The sequence below is a fragment of the Homo sapiens genome, chromosome 10 (assembly GCF_000001405.40).
Source record: "Homo sapiens chromosome 10, GRCh38.p14 Primary Assembly".
NCBI lineage: Eukaryota > Metazoa > Chordata > Mammalia > Primates > Hominidae > Homo > Homo sapiens.
The window spans coordinates 76,396,330-76,412,596 of NC_000010.11; the positions used below are offsets into that span (position 1 = coordinate 76,396,330).

General features: G+C 42.2%; 1 protein-coding gene across 3 annotated transcripts in view, besides 1 other annotated feature; it reads left to right on the top strand.

The window, feature by feature from the left end:
• LRMDA (leucine rich melanocyte differentiation associated) overlaps nt 1–16,267 on the top strand; it is a 1,128,545-nt gene that overhangs the window by 964,706 nt on the left and 147,572 nt on the right. The gene's annotated exons all lie outside the window — the stretch shown is intronic.
• Nucleotides 430–2,665: an enhancer, noted in NCBI's record as "VISTA enhancer hs1683". NCBI's record gives its function as "enhancer in: somite[4/4] | branchial arch[3/4]" and the evidence as "EXISTENCE:transgenic organism evidence [ECO:0001131][PMID:17130149]".

Consider the following 16,267-nt stretch of genomic DNA (forward strand, 5'->3'; position numbering starts at 1 on the left):
GCCAAAGGATCTGTGGTGATCGGGAGTCATAAATCAGATATGAGAGGGAGAGACCATATGGTGCAGAAAGAAAGTGACGATGCGATTCTTTCAGCTATAGCCACTCACGTGCACTCTCTTACCCAGTAGAGAGAGGGGCCCCTTTCCACTGTTTCTTTTCTACTTCCCCAGTGAACCTGCAGGAATGTCAGCTGAAATACCTTGCTCTTTTCTACACATTTCTGAATCAGCCAAGATGTCAGTGACCTGGAAAGGACTCAGGTGAGAGCCAGAGAAATGATTAAAGAGCCGGTGATGCCGATGATCCAGTGGGTGTCTCCTCTCCGCACCACTAGAACTGACTTATGGGAAGATAGTCAAATAACTAGATATGTGTTGTTTGGCCCAGGGCAGACAAGAAGGAAGGTATGGGGTAACTTGTCTCCAATGGAGTTGCCAACAGCCAATGAATTATTGTGTCTTTTCCTCTCCAAATGGACTGTCAGTATACATATATATATTTTCAAGTTTTATTGAAAATAGTTACCTCAAATTTACTTGCACTTATTTTCCTGAGAGTCTGAGGAATCACATTCTCATTGCTGCAGGCCCCCAGAAGTTTTGAAACAGCCTCTGCCACGCCACGCAACTCTACTCACCCAGAGAAATTGCCTTCCCTCTTTTCCCTCAACTTGTCTGGAGATGAAAAGGATGAGATTGAAACCCCTTTTCTTAGAGACACGTCCCCTCCCTTGCTGGTTTCTGGCTTCTCTTTTCGGTGTGTGAGCAAAATCATTTTATTAAACCATTTGTCAGGGGGCAGATGGGAAGTCTGTCTTTCCCATTAGTTAGCAGAAAGTGACCCCAGCAGCTGTGGAGGGAATCGGTCAAGCCATTGCTACCAACCAGACCAGGGTGGAGAAGGAGGCCGGGCTTTGCTCAGTTGTCACAAGGTCCCAGGCGGCTCCCCAGGAGCCTTGGAACTGATGAGGCCCTGTTTTTATTGGCCATGCCTGTGGTAGGCTGACTTCCTTCACTCTGAGCTTCAGGCCAGCCAGGGAAGGGGGCAGGGGCCACTAGCATTGGGAAGCTTTCGTACTTTGCCCTTAACACTCCATATCCCTGTTTAATTAATTTCCTAACTTTGTGGGGGAAAAAGATGAAATAAATAAGGCCAACTGACCACTTCATAATTTGTTTCTGAAGCTTGGCTGGACATAAAAGTCTCCCTTCCAAAACCACACGGCATAATTTATTTTACGATTCCCTCTCGGCACCAGGTCTGGGCTAACCTTGAGTTTGGAGGCTGTGCCTTCGCTTCCTGGTGCTGGTGGTCACAGTGTGTCCTTTCTTGGCAGTGGCCATGGGCCCAGCAAAACAGACCTCTGAAAGGCGAGCAGATTAATCATTTTGAAGGCATGCTCGCCTCAACAGTTCCCCTGCAGGATGTCGGAGAACCGGAGAGAGGGGACTGCTGTAGTTCACAAGGGGCATAGGGAAATGCCTGAAGACTCACAAAAACAAGGGGGTGAACAACAGAAAAAGAATGAGTGCTTTTAAATTGTACATGCTGGAGTTTTCACTAACCGAAAAGTATTACCAAAAAATATATTGCCACTCCTAGAGCACAAACTGTGATGAGTCCAACCCTTTTATTACAATCAGGCTTTCTCTAAATATATTATGCCCTGCAGGTCAAAATGATTTACTTCTCTATTTTGGGACATCTGAGTTCTATTCTACTGTTGCCAGTATGTTTTCAGCTGTGCCAGAACCGAGCAGGTCTGCGGCTCCTTTGTAACATCAAAACGGAGACATTTATCATTGAGATTTATCATGGGACAGCCTGCCAGATGGTTTGGGTATTTTAAAGGTGAACTGTTTGGGCCTTGATTAGCTCATGCGGACTTCTAGCTAAAGACAACTCTATCAGCTGCTCAGTGGAAAGACACTGACGTCCCCCTCCCCCCAGCTCCCTCCCTCTGTTCTTCTAGTAATGCAGAAAATATTAATGTAATGGCAGATGTGGCATAGATTGTCATTTCAGGAAGAAAACCAAGCCATAACCAATTCCACTGATTGCATTCTAATTATAATGTGACCTCCTGTTGCTTTGCATAGAGGCAGTATTCATTTCAGTACACCACTGTAAAACTTGCCTAGTCAACGACCCTCAAAGGGGCAATTGTAAGATTTAAGCTTGGATTTTTTTGCTCATACCAAAGTCCTTTATTCTGCCAAGCCTCTGCTGATTGGGCCAGAAAGAATGCATTTGATTATATAGACTAAACTTATTGGGAACAGAACCTCTGTGCTTTGAAATGCTTTTCATTCAAATTACATTCAGACATTCAATCAACATTGATTATGATATGGATTGGCAACAGGGAATGCCTTGGGTTTTTGGTCTGGCTTGAAAGTTTGCTGAGTTTCGTACCAGATAACAACTGGGAAGCCAGCTGAGTTTCCTTAACCTTTTCCATGAGTTTCTCAGAAAAGGATGGTTTCTCTTGGGAGGCCAGGAGTTCCTTATTCCCACTTGATGCAGTATTCCAAGATCATTTCTTCACTTGGAAAATTTGGGTCTTTGGGGCTTCCAAATTTAATTAACCTCTGATAGCTTTGGGAAATGTGTGCTCATTTGTGTTTATGTTAATAAAGTAGGTCCTTGACTTTGTGCATGAAAATCTAGGAGAATGCATCTTAGATTCAGATTCCAGGTCTAAAATTTTGTATCATGGAAGAAAGTGATCATCACTAATTCTGGTCATAGATGTTGTCTGTGTGATTTAGAGCAAGGCTCAGTTTTCTCATCTGCAAAATGAAATAAAGGTGATCCCAAGGTTTAATTTCTAATAAAGTTGATTTGAAAATACTAAGAAACAATATAATATTGTTATTATTATTTACATGTCAGTGTATGTGCTTGTGTTTTTGAGGGGCCTTTGCCTGCATCTAGACCTCTCTGTCTCTGGAAAAATCCTGGTGGGATCAGTTTTCGAAGTAGTTGGCTCTTGGCAGACTCGCAGACATACTAAAGTTTTTGTTTTGACTTGAAGGTCCTCTTCCGGCCCTTCTGAATAACTTTAACCTAAAAGTCAGGCTAGAATTCCCACAAGAAGAGAGTTGCCAGGGCATCCTCATTCCAAGCTATAAAATCACTGGAGATAGCTCCATTTTCTTTATCCAATCACATGCCATGAGCTGTCATTTGTGTACAGATGTCTCTCAAATATAGATTTCCAGCCTTCATAGCATTCCTGAAATTTAGCATTGCTAAGTATATGGTCACCTTGAATAGTATTCTAGGATCTCGAATTCAGTACGTTCTCTTTTTCCCCCCAAAACAATGGCAACCAGCCTCTCCTCTGTTCTCTCTTTCTCTTAACTGCTCCTGTAGTTCCAGTTACTAGAGTTCAAAACCTTGGAACTTTTATTTTCTCCCTTGTCTTTACTTCCCACATAGAACTAGTTGCCAAGTCCTGTGAATTATACCACTTGAAAATATCTGTTCTTCCTAAAGTTAGTGCTTTTTCATTGAGTCTAATCATTTCCTTCATGGCCTGTGTAATTTAGTCTTTCCACCAATCCAGTCATCCTACCATGATGTGGCAGCAGCTTCTAAGATGGTCCTTATAATATCTGTTATCTGGTGTTCATACCCTTGTGAGATCTCCTCCCCTTATGTGTGGATGGGACCTGTGATTTGCTTGTAACCAGCAGATTATCGAAAAAAGTAATGGGATGTCACTTTCATGATTAAGTGACATAGGATTGTGACTTCTGCCTTAGTAGAAAACTTTTTTCCTGCTGATCTTGATGAAGTAAGAAGCTATGTTGGAGAGGCCCACACGGCAGCAGCAGAGGGTGGCCTCTGGCCAACAGCCAGTAAGGAACTATGGCCCTCTACCCAAGACCCCACAAGAAACTGAATCCTGTCAACAATCTTTTGAGCTTGGAAGCTTCCCCAGTTAAGCCTCAGATGAGACCCCAGCCCTGGTCTGTACCTTGATAACAGTCTTGTGAGATGCCTAAAACAGAGGACACAGCTAAGCTGTATCCAGATTCCTGACCCACAGAAAGTGTGAGACAACAAATATGTATTATTTTAAGCTGTTAGATTTGTGGTAATTTGTTACCTAATATTAGACAGCTGTATCCTAGAGCAGCTAGATTACTGCCTGACAATATCAGTCTTTTGCTCAGAAATACTCAGTGTCTTCATGATTCTTTGTCTTTGGCCTTGAACTCCCTATTCAAGCTGTTTTCCAATTCTCCTTCCTGAGCACAATTACCTCTGTACTGTTCATATTTCTGGCTTTCTGCCTTTTACCTTTTGCTGACATCGTTACCATTTCCTGGATTTTCTTTATGACTAAATCTCACATCTTTTTTAAAGGCCCACTTAAATGTCACCTCTTTCATAAAAGCTTTTTTGATCTCTGAAGCTATATAGATCTCTGAGCTGCCATCGTTCTATACCTCAGGTTCCTATTCATTTTCTACCTCATAGGGGACTGGTTTGAGAACATTGCTGTATCTGTACTACAGGTTGAATACCCCTTATCAAAAATACTTCAGGTCAGAAGTGTTGAGAATTTGGGGTTTTGGGGGAGATTTTGGAATATCTGCATTATATGCTTACCTGTTGAGCATCCCCAGTCTGAAAATCCAAAATGCTCATTTGAGCATTTCCTTTGAGGGTCATGTTGGTACATAAAACATTTTGGGTTTCGGAGCATTTTGGATTTTGGATTTTCAGCTTAGGGATACTCAACCTGTGCTAGGCTGCAAATTATATGAAGGAGGCTTCTTCTGATTCATCTTTCCATGCCCTTGAGCTTCCAATATAATGACTTAATGGATGGTATGCTCTCAGTGGATGAGACTCAATGGATGGTATGCTCCAGTGACTCAATGGATGGTATGTTCTTGTTCATGAAGAGCAAGCCAGTGTGCCCACAGGACAGCAAAACAGAAGTGGTTTGTGGAACTATTCGTTTATTTACTTGCTTATTCTTTTATTCCTTCCTTTACCGCATACCTGGCATTGTCCTAGGGGCTGATGTGGACTCATGGGCATCATGCTTAGAAAGGGACCTTGTTCTTGGGGTTTTATGTTTAAGCATCACCATCTTCTTGAGACTCTTAATCATTTTATTTTTGAATCTGTGTTTTCTGAGTGAAGTCCCAGAAGGTAGTGGGGTATATGCTAGGGGCTCAGAGAATTTGCCAGTGCCTTCTGCCTCCCTGACATAGATTCTAACCCACTTGTTCTCCTCACCCTCCCACCATGGCAGAGGCCTGGGCACAACCACAGGGAGAGTTGGGGTTGGGTACACATGCCCTGTATTCCAGGTCACAGAGTAAGGACCCTGGGTACCTGGGAGGATCTGTACTTGCTGCATAGTCAGGAAGTAACTATGTAAGTATCATATTAAATAAGAAATACTATGACAGGTTGAGAGAAAGAGAGGAGAGCATTAGTGAGCTTACAGACAAACAGGAAAAGCTTTTCTCTTGCCTTTTGAACAAGTGCCTGCATTTTCATTTGTACTGGACCCTGGAAATTATGTAGCTGGCCCTGACTAGGGGTATAGTGGGAAACCAAAGGGGCAGGGATACAGCTGTGGCAGCAGAGGTGGGGTCGGGGGAAACAGCAAACAACAGACAATAAACAAGATGATTTCAGAAAGTCATAAGTACTATGACTTTCTGAGAATCAAATGAGGTGATATGCTGGTGAGTCCCTGAGTATGGTGCAGGAAGCATGTTACCTTAAAGAAAGATGATGAGGGAACCGTTGCTGAGAAGGTGGCATTTGAGTGGACATCTGCAGGAGGTAAAGAGGTTAGGCCGTTCCAGGAATATGGGGCAGTTTCTAGGCAGAATAATGTGCTAGGTCAAAATCCTTGGGGCTGGAACAAGCTTGAAATAGCCAAGAGCTAGACACAAAAGCCAGTGCTGCAGTAGCCTAGAGACTGTGGAAGAGAGGAGGCTTGGGGCATTTACTAAGGTAAGATGAAGCTGATCCTTTATTTTATTTTATTGTTCTTTTTTTAGAATTAGGTTCTTGCTGTGTCACCCAGGCTAGAGTGCAGTGGTGGGATCATGGCTCACTGCAGCCTCAAACTCCTGGATCAAGCAATCCTCCCACTTTAGCCTTCTGAGTAGCTGGGACTACAGGCGTGTGTCACCACTCCTGGCTAATTTTTAATCTTTTTTTGTAGAGGTAGGGTCTAGGTATGTTGCACTGGCTGGTCTCCAACTTCTGGCCCCAGGCAATCCTCCCGCCTTGATCACCATAAGTGCTGGGATTACAGGCAGGAGCCACTGTGCATGGTCCAGCTGGTTCTTTAACACCAACACCATACTGGCCATAGTGAGGACACAGCTTGCCTCTGGGCTTGTCTAGGTCTGTAGTCCAGTATTTTCACACCTAAGAATTACTAAGGAGGGATTTTACAGCAATGCGCTCCCTGCATTTTCTACCTTAATTTAATTCCTTTTTCTTTGTCAACATAGCTATTCTGCATTCTTTAAAATAGAGATTTTTTCAGAGACATGTAACTTACAAGGATGTAAATAATCATAGGTGGGCCAAGGAATGTGTAGTTCCTAGGGAGAGCTTTGCAAATGAGATTGGTTCCTTTCCCACAGAACCTCAAGGACTGTTGGATTTGTTTCAGAGGTCACAAATGGGCACCTTATGGCCCAAACTGGAGCCCCAGAAGTGTTTTATTTGTTCTGCATGTTGCCCTTCATCAAACAGGAGTGCCCCAGCAATGGCCCTGTGCTCCCCAGATAGCTCTGTCCTAATCTCTCCTATAGTCTCCTGCTTGTGCTTCTTCCCTTTATGCCTGAACTCTTTTTAATTGTTTCTCATTAAAAAAATTATACTCCACTGTATAGTGCAGACGTGGAAATGTTGGCATGTGGATAGACCCTGTACCAAAAACCCAGCAGAAGATTCAGAGTCCCTGAGATGCTTCCTCCTCATCTTCTTCGCCAAGCACCTCTTGTCACTGATCTTGGAAGTTAGAGGTGGGAAAAGGCAGGTAAGAGGGCCAAGAAGTCAAAGTCCTAATTCATGCATGCCTGGGCCCACCCGTCTTCCCGTCTTGCATGCCCATTCTGTGGACTCCCTATATGTAGATGCTAACCCAGGAAACCCCTCAGGGCCAGTGGTGCATGGCTGGCTCCCTTCCTACAGACTGTTCCTTTAAAAATTTGGGGCTTTAACTGAGAAGAAAATTAAGTAATTTTGTTATTTTTTCCTTCATAAAGCTAAAATTATTAATCTTCAGAGATAAGTACTGTTCAGTGCATAATGAGTTCGAATTGTTGATAATTATAATTTTGAAGAGTTTCAGCTTGCTGTCAGCCAAGTAATTAAAGGGGTGGGACCAGGGTTCTATTTTGTTCATGATGGTTATGCTTCTGGTAAGAACTCTCTCTGTGTGGCAAAAATGCCCTCATTCTAGTCACATGGTGCAGTGAAAGGGTTAATTAAATCAAGTAAAGTAATCCACTGGGTTGTGAAGAGTTCTCTTTTCCTAGTTTCCCCCCTGGCCTTCCATCTCTTCCTTAAGATCTTCCCATTGTCTTAGCAAAGCTGGACACCCTCAATGGTGCCCGCTCTCCACTAGTGAAACAGATGCAGGATGCCTGGGTCCTGCCTGAGCCCAGGGAAGAGGCTCAGTTCCTTTCCCTCTTTCGCAACTGCCCCCTTCACCCAATTGCCCATGAGTCACCTTAAAAAAAAATGTCTTGCATATACTAGCACTGGACTAAAAAAATTGAACCAAAAGAAAAGAGGAAGAGAAAATGGAAAACTAATGATTCAAGAAATCACATAGCACGAGATAATTCTATTTTGAAATCACAGCAGTGGCACCCAGAGGCGGACACTCCCCAAATTACTAGTGAAAACCCTTTGATGTATCCAGTTGTAAGAAAGCCCAAGGCACTTTTTTATTATTATTATGAGTGTTTCACATTCCCCAAAAGAAACATTTAGCAGTAATTTTTAAATGTCTGTGTGTGAGCAAGCTAAATAAAATGAAATAAAATAAAATAAATCCCTAAAAAATCTCCAACCCTAAATGTGCTTACTTGATGGCTGGCTTTTACTTACAATAAAAGCCAAGGTCTTACAATGGTGTATGAGGCCCCCATGAGATCTCTCTGCCCTCATCTGCCCCTTTATCTTCCCTGGCTCATTCCACTATAGCCACACTGGCTCGCTAGCTGTTCAGGGACACACTGGGTGTGTTCCCTGCTCAGTCTGTTCCCTTGCTATATTCCCAGCCTGGATGCTCTTTCCTGGGTATATGAATGGCTCAATCGTTTCTTTCCTTGAGCTGTTTCCTCCAAAGTCTCCTTCTCATTGAAGCGTTCCCTTGCCATGCTGTATAAAACCTCAACTTCCCACTTTTGACACTCTTAAAGGGACTTTGCAGATGTGATTAAGTTAAGGAACTTGAGATGGAGAGATTATCCTGGACCATGTGGGTGGGCCCGGTATGAAAACAAAAATCCTTATAAAAAGGAAACAGCAGGGATACAAACAGGGAAAGGAGATGTTACAACAGAAATAGAAGTTGGAGTGATGTAAGTTGAAGATGAAGGAAGGGTCCACAAGCCAAGAAATGCAGGCAGCCTCTAGAAACTGGAAAGGCAAAAGGAAATGATTTTTTTCTGGGGCCTTCAGCAGTAACCAGAGCAGTTGACACCTAGATGTTATTAGCTCGGTGAGACCCTTTTTGGACTTCTGATCTCCAGACTGTAAGATAATAAATCTGTGTTGTTTTAAGCCACTGAGTTTAATTTGTTACAACAGCAATAAAAAACTAATACAATTGGCAGGACCCAGACTCATAAGACCCCAAAGAATTTGACCATCTTGGTCCCCGGTTCTTCTGTGCAATATTCAAAGTTTCTATTTTCTGTCAGGATTTCCTTTCTGACTTGAAGACAGAGGAAAGAAACCTTTGCAGTACATGCATTCTGGTCTCCTTTTGTACCTGAGGCCAGCTTTCGTCACTAGGTGCAATAAACGCTGCATTAGATTTTGATGGGAGGTATGGTGCCCAGGTGTGTTTCAACACAGTTCAGATGAGGGACAGGGGAGCTGGGGAGAAGCAAATGCAGCCCTGCCAGGAACAGTGCGCTGCTGTTTATACAACAGGGTAAAGGACCAGACTTGTCATTATTTTAACCCAAGTAGACAGTTCTCGCCTGTCTAAGGATGTGATTGACTGGTGGTATCTTTTCATGGTTATGCAGCAGATTGAACTTCAGAAGTCAGAGCTCACAACTGACGGGATGTGTTTGTAATTGGACCTGGTAAGAACTGGACCTCTAAATAGGGAAGAAAGAGCAGTGGAGACAATCACATTGTGGCCTTTTGCTAGTTATTCATTCATAGAGTTCTTCCTGTTTTAATTCTGGAGGATTAAAACATTAAAGAATAATTTATTCCTATACTCTCCTCAGCCCCCGTGCGTTCCTTTTTCCTTTTCTGTGTCTCTTGTTTTATCTTTCTCTCTCTGTGTCATACTTTTCCCTGACCTTCCATTTCCTGAAAATTGTCTGTATTTGTGAGGGTAACCTTAGTGCTTGAAACTTTTTCCAGCTTTATTTTAAAAAGATGACCATTTTATCAGGCAGTCTGAAAATCCAAAAGTATTCTCTGCTCCAAATGTCCTCTTATTTAACTGGCCAGCGAGGAAAACCCACAAATTGCCAAACAAGAGGAACAACAGGAAGCGGTGATGGAGCTCATTTACATCTGCATATGTTCTTTATTTAAAACCAGGGGAAGTGCTGAGTGGATGGGTTTGGGAAATATGGCCGGCATTCCGGAAAGGGTGGCTGTGCACAAGTCCACACATCCTGTACTAACAGGCGGAAAGGGAACATCATGGCATTTATGTTTCCGTGCCATCTTTTAATGTCTGTTCTGTGGCATCTTCATTAGATCCCAACATGACCCACAAACTGTTAACATATCAAAGGCAGTAGGGAGAGAGGTGTGAATATCCTAAAAGGGCTTCTGATGAACTATCGTATTTTCTTATACTCTAAATACATGGAACAGAGATGTTGGGATAGGTACACATTTGGGTTTTATTAACAAAATAGCAGTAAGATGTATAGGCAGTTGGAGATACCCGTTGAGCCTCTATGTTCTAAAGACAAATGTTCCAGCCTCTCATGGTCTTTTGGTGGCACAAAATGTTTCCTCCTGAAGAGGTGAAAAGGTGACCACAGTGGTCCTTCTCACTTTGCTCTGCCTCTGTGGCTGTCATGGGAGTAGAGTTGGCTATGACATCTGCCCTGCATTGATACACAAGGCTGATTCAGGGTGGGTTGTCAGGTGTCCTTTCATTCATCATGACCCTGAGTATGTCCCTTCTGAAAGGAGGCATACATGGTGAAAAAAGGGGCCTTCCCTGGAGCAGATTTGTGAAGCAAAACATGAAACCTTATTATTGGTCCATAGAATGAGCCCGAGAGGCCCTTGAGATGGTCTTTGATCCTACTCATATTTTAAGGTAGAAAAACTTCAAAGTTTTAAAAAAACTCAGAAAGGCTGGAATAATTGTTCCAGATCTCAGTACAGTTGAGCTACAGTTCACTCAGTCATCTTTCCCACTTCAGAATCTGCCCATTCGTGCAACCTTTGATCCCTCCATCCACCCACAAACATTTGTTGAATGCCCATAAATAAGATCCAGTCCATGCCTCAAAAAGCTCATATGCACAGGAAGGATGGGAATGTAGGGCTGTGGACTAGGTGTTACGCAGAGATGTGGCAGCTGAAGGGTGCACAGAACAGGGAGTGTGCACATCAGCCTGGGCTCTGTGGTGGAGAGTGGAGGAAGGCAGGGAGTGATACTCAAAGTTGCGGATATGTCTTAAGAGAAAAATAGTTGTTTGCCAGGTGCTCCATATGTGGGAAGACTCTGTCCTATCCTATTTCTATTTGCTTTTAAATAATAATAACAAACAAAATTTCTATTGTTTCATTGATTCTCTCATTCACTCAAAATTTGAGGGCCTGAGATACCCAGAGGAGTTGGAACACACAATCTGTACTCACGTGGGGACTTGCAAAATAATGAATAAATTAATGTTCTAGAAGTTACTGGGACCAGTTTTCATCCAATGCAAGAATAACTTCTAAGTTCTTCTCAACCTTGAGATTTGATGAATTAGAATAACGAACCTTTGTCTCGTTATCTCATGCAACTCACAACAACCCTGTAAAATAGATTTTATGATCACTGTCAGTTTTATAGGTAAGTAAAAAGAGACACAGGAGGGGTTAAGAAATATGCACAAGATTTCATAGCCAAAGGGTGACCACATGAGAGCCAAAACTGTCTGCTATCCTTAAATCCTAGGTTATTTCTTTTGCATTACTTTGTGTTGCTTATATATAGTTGAACTCAATAAATGACTTCATATAGGTAGGGCAATTTCTTCATTTAACTACACTTAATAGGAGACCAAATTAGAACATTTGTTTTGAATTAAAATATGATCTTTAAGACATTCCTATTAAGAAGGGCAGTATGTTAAACATAGAGTTTTAGATTATCAGAGCTGGACCTTGTACAAGGAGATAATAACTCTCAATACAATTATGTCATTTTCTGCCATATTACAGATGAGAGAGAACACAGTTTTAAAATCATAGCCAAGAACGCAAGTTTCCCTACTCCTCCCAGTGTTATCTCAACTAACACTTACTGCTTTTTATTATATTCAGCACCTGTAAGGATCATAACCCAAAGAAAGGAAAATGCAGAACAATTGGGTTTTGATGAGAGTCTGAGCTTCAGAAGGGTTTGGAACATACAATGAAATTTCTCATTCCGTGGTTATTTGAGTGTTGGGATGAGGACACCAGCGCACAACTGTGGTAATGTCTGTGGTCAACAGAGAGCACCAGGTACTAGCTGGATTTGGTGGAGCCCAAGTAGAACTAGACAGAGGGCCTTGAATGGTCATCTAACTATATAAAACACTCACCTTTGATTAGGTCTGCTCTCTAGTCATAATTCTGACCTCTGTGGAGTTTACTTAAAAGCATAATTCTCATTGATTATGTACCGAGAATTATGTTCTCATAATTCTCATTGATTCTGTAAGGAAATGTCCTATGCACATGGTTCTAGAAATATAAATTACTCCTGTCAATATTTAACCAAAAACCAGACTTGGTCCTTCAGGTGCCAGGGCAGAGATTGCTCATTTATATTGATGTGATTTTCACTAAATAAGAGCTGTAATGTTTGAGGATCAAACTGTCCAGTTTTTGAAATTAGCTGCTTTTTGAAATTTCCTCTGAAGTTTGCCTTTTTCATTTTCCCTTTTGTTTTTCTGCTGGTTTCTTCTTTCTCCTCCAAAGCCGCAGGACTCCTGCTACATTGCTCAATTCTACTTTCCACCTCCACTGCTGGGCAATTTCTTCCTTCCTCACTCCCGGGAAGAAATAATTCTCCTCTTGACAGCTTTCCTTTGGTGGTTTGCATACTCCCCTCATGTAGTAGTCACATTATAAACATGCACAGATGGCTTCGGAACCCTGGGCTTATTTTCTCCCTATTGTGGTACAAGGCATTTAGCACCTGGTAGGAGCTCAAAAAATATTTTAGGAATGAATGAATGATGGAAGCAAACAAAGAAGGAATATTTGCCTCTCATTACTACCATCTGGAGACTCCAAGGAGGCCCTATGGTTCAGTCTACTTTCTTTCAGTTTACCACTTTGTGTCACTTGTCCAGGTGATTTTAAATAAACATTCATTCATTCATTCTGTCTCTCTCTACAAGAGGATGGACACGTACCACACTCAATAATGGTGAGATTGTCAGTGATTTTCGTACTCTTTTCCTTTGAGCTTTTTGGTAGTTTGACATTTTTCTGCAATGAGAATATTTTATTTTGTAGTTCAAAAGTATTAGCCCTTTTATGCCCAGTGTTCCATTATTGGAATGCTAAGCTTGTGGGAGTTATTTATATCCTACTACTCAAGGTCATTGCCAAGGTCTGATTTTTTGTATACAAAAATAGCAACCTCTGGCACAAATGAGTTAACATTAGATTTTTAAAATTATATTTTGTATTCTAAAAATGTTTATTTTATAAAATTTAGACAATTAGTAATATTGGGAGAAAAAAACTACCCATAATTCTGATACCCACAATCCATTGCTAACCCGTTCACTTTACTTCTAGCCTTTTTTTAGTGCATACATTTTGATATGTAGTTGTGATCCTGTTGAAAATTGACATTTTTATTTTACTTTTTCAATGAACATGTATAAAGTGGTTTTATGTTATATATCTCCATGAATTTCACTTTTATTGACTGCATGCTAGTCTTTTTAAATATTAATATCAAGTGCATGGTCAACTTTAGCATTTCCCAATATGTAATAGCAACACTAAAGTGAGCATTTATTAAATGCTTGCTACTTACTGGGCAGTGTCCAGAATAAACTGGTAGGCAAAATGAACTTCTGCTCTCCCAGAGGATAGAATCTACAAAAACAAATTTATGCTAGCGACTCAATATGGTAACAGCTTTATAGTGAACATGCAGAGTTATGGGAACATTTGAAGGAATGTAGAATCCAATTTTAAGCAAGGATTAGGGAAGTCTTCCTGGAAGAGGTAACATTGAAGCCTCGACAACCGTATCACAACTGACCAGGGAGAAATGTGAGAAGAGTTCACCTTGGGGGAACAGCATGTATAATGGGCCAGAGGGCAGAGGCATGGAATGTTGAAGGCACGGAATTGTAGTTTGGCCAGAGATCATTGTGGGAGGGGATAGAGAGAGAAAAAGGAGAGTAAGGAGGTGATCGAGGAGCTAATAGCGGAGGTGCATGGGGTAAGATCATGAAGAACTTTACATGCAAATTTAAAGAGTAGGGATTATGTCATAGAGGCTTGGAAAAATCACTTTCTTTCTTTTTTTTTTTTTTTTTTTTTTTTTTTTGAGATAGGGTCTCACTCTGTGACCCAGGCTGGAGTGCAGTGGTGCAACCATGGCTCGCTGCAGTATCAACCTCTTGGTCTCAAGTGATCCTCCCATCTCAGCATCCTAAGTAGCTGGGACTATAGGCACATACCAACATGCCTGGCTAGGTTTCAAATTTTTTGTAGAGACAGAGTTTTGCCATGTTGCCCAGGCTAGTCTTGAACTCCTAGGCTTAAGCAATCCTCCTGCCTTGGCTTCCCAAAGTGCTGGGATTATAGGCATGAGCCACCGTGGCCCAGCCCCCATCAAGAAGCTTTAGGCTGGAGAAGCTGAAAGATTACATTGGCTTATTACAAAGATCATTCTGGCTGGGAGTGGCTCACACCTATAATCCCAGCACTTTGGGAGGCCAAGGGGGGTGGATCACTTGAAGTCAGGAGTTTGAGACCAGCCTGGCCAACATGGTGAAACCCTGTCTCTACTAAATGTACAAAAATTATCCAGGCATGGTGGTGAGCGCCTGTAATCCCAGCAGGCTGAGGTAGGATAATTGCTTGAACCCTGGAGGCAGAGGCTGCAGTGAGCCGAGATCGCACCATTGCACTCCAGCCTGGGCAACAGAGCGAGACTCCATCTCCAAAACAAAACAAAACACCAGAAAGATCATTCTGGCTGCCATCCACAGATATATGCAGGGAGACCATAGAGGGGGTTGGAGCAAGAGATGCAATTCATGCAAGAGATGTTTGTCATTTACCTGTTGTTGTTTTTATTTCACCATCATAATAACCATGAGAGGAAATTTTTATGCATAGCTATCTTGAGTACTATTTTATTAGAAAAGAATAAAAGGAAAATGCGAGCTGATCTTAGTGTTACAACTTGTCAGCGTCACTTGCAGGCTGAGTTTGTTCTCATGCCCACCTACCAAGTCATTTCAGTAGTACCTGTTGGAGATGCGTAAAGGGCACCTTCTTGAGGATGGCTCTCCATAGTATACGTGGTTCAGACCAGATTTCATCCAGATTTATGCTGCATCATTTGCTGGGATCTCAACTTCCACTCTAAGCCTAGTGCCAGTTCTGTACAAATGATTTTTAAAAATCCAACATAATTAGGATGATTATATACACCTTACAGCCATGTTTCATGGACTCCCTGGGTGGAATGCATTTGCCTAAGGTCAACGACATTATTTCCCTAAAGGGACAGTCCTATTGTTGGACTTCAGATAAATTCCTCACTATTTTTCAAGTGCTCCAGTTTATATGATTCCACTTTCTTGGCCAAAATTCTGCTTATGGCATAGTGTTGCCCATTGTGGGATCTCAAAGCACATTCATTATCATGTGCTGACGGCTGTTCTGCAGGAGTGGAAAATGGAGGTAGAGAGAAGTGAATGCAACGGTGCCAGCAGTGGGGGATGGAGCCACGCCCCTGACAGGGGGCACAGTCTCTGAACTCAGCACCAGGCTGGGAAGCTTTGCCGGGGCCTCCCTGTGCTCTTTTGGGGCAGGCCACTTTGGAGACATAACAAATATAACCAGGGTAGAGCTCTGCCAGAAAGCAACAGCGGGGACAGTGATGGAAAACAGATGGAGGCGCTGGCCTTCACTTGGTGAGAAATCCACTGAGGGAATGGAGAATGTTTGCAAAATCTCCGAGTGCTATTGGGACACCTCTTAGTGCATTTACAAGGCGCCAGCCTCTGTTTGCCAATGGTTTAGTTTGGTTTTGATGAGACCAAATTACCCTTTGAATTCTCTCGAAATTTTGAACATTTCCCAAATTTTGTTTGACTCACCAGCTGGAGGCTTGGAATTAAAAATCCAGCATGAGTGCCTGAGAAAAATAAGTGAAATCTTGCCTTATTTTGGAGGAATGGTTAAGAAAAGGTGCTTGTAGCTGCCTAGCTTGTGGTTGGCTCCCCACATTGTGTAATTCTTAGCCTGGAACAAATCTTGAGTTGTCATTTTGTATTTTCTCCTGCTTCTACATAGGGAGGGAGGGCTCTGCCTCCCCAAAGTATTTCGGAAAGATGGTGGACTCTTCTGATGTAAGACTTCAGAAAGGAAGGCACACAACCTTATTTGTTCTTCTGATTCATGGATAAAGGGTTAACCATACTGTGGCTTTTTGTAGCACATGCAGTTTGAACATAGCTCTATATTCAACATCTTGTGGTGAGAAGGAAGGACACAAAAAAGAGTTCATCTCCTTTCTCTGGGGGACTCTGCCCTTTCTAGGTGAGATGATGGTGTATGACTCTAGGAATATAGATAAGTGTC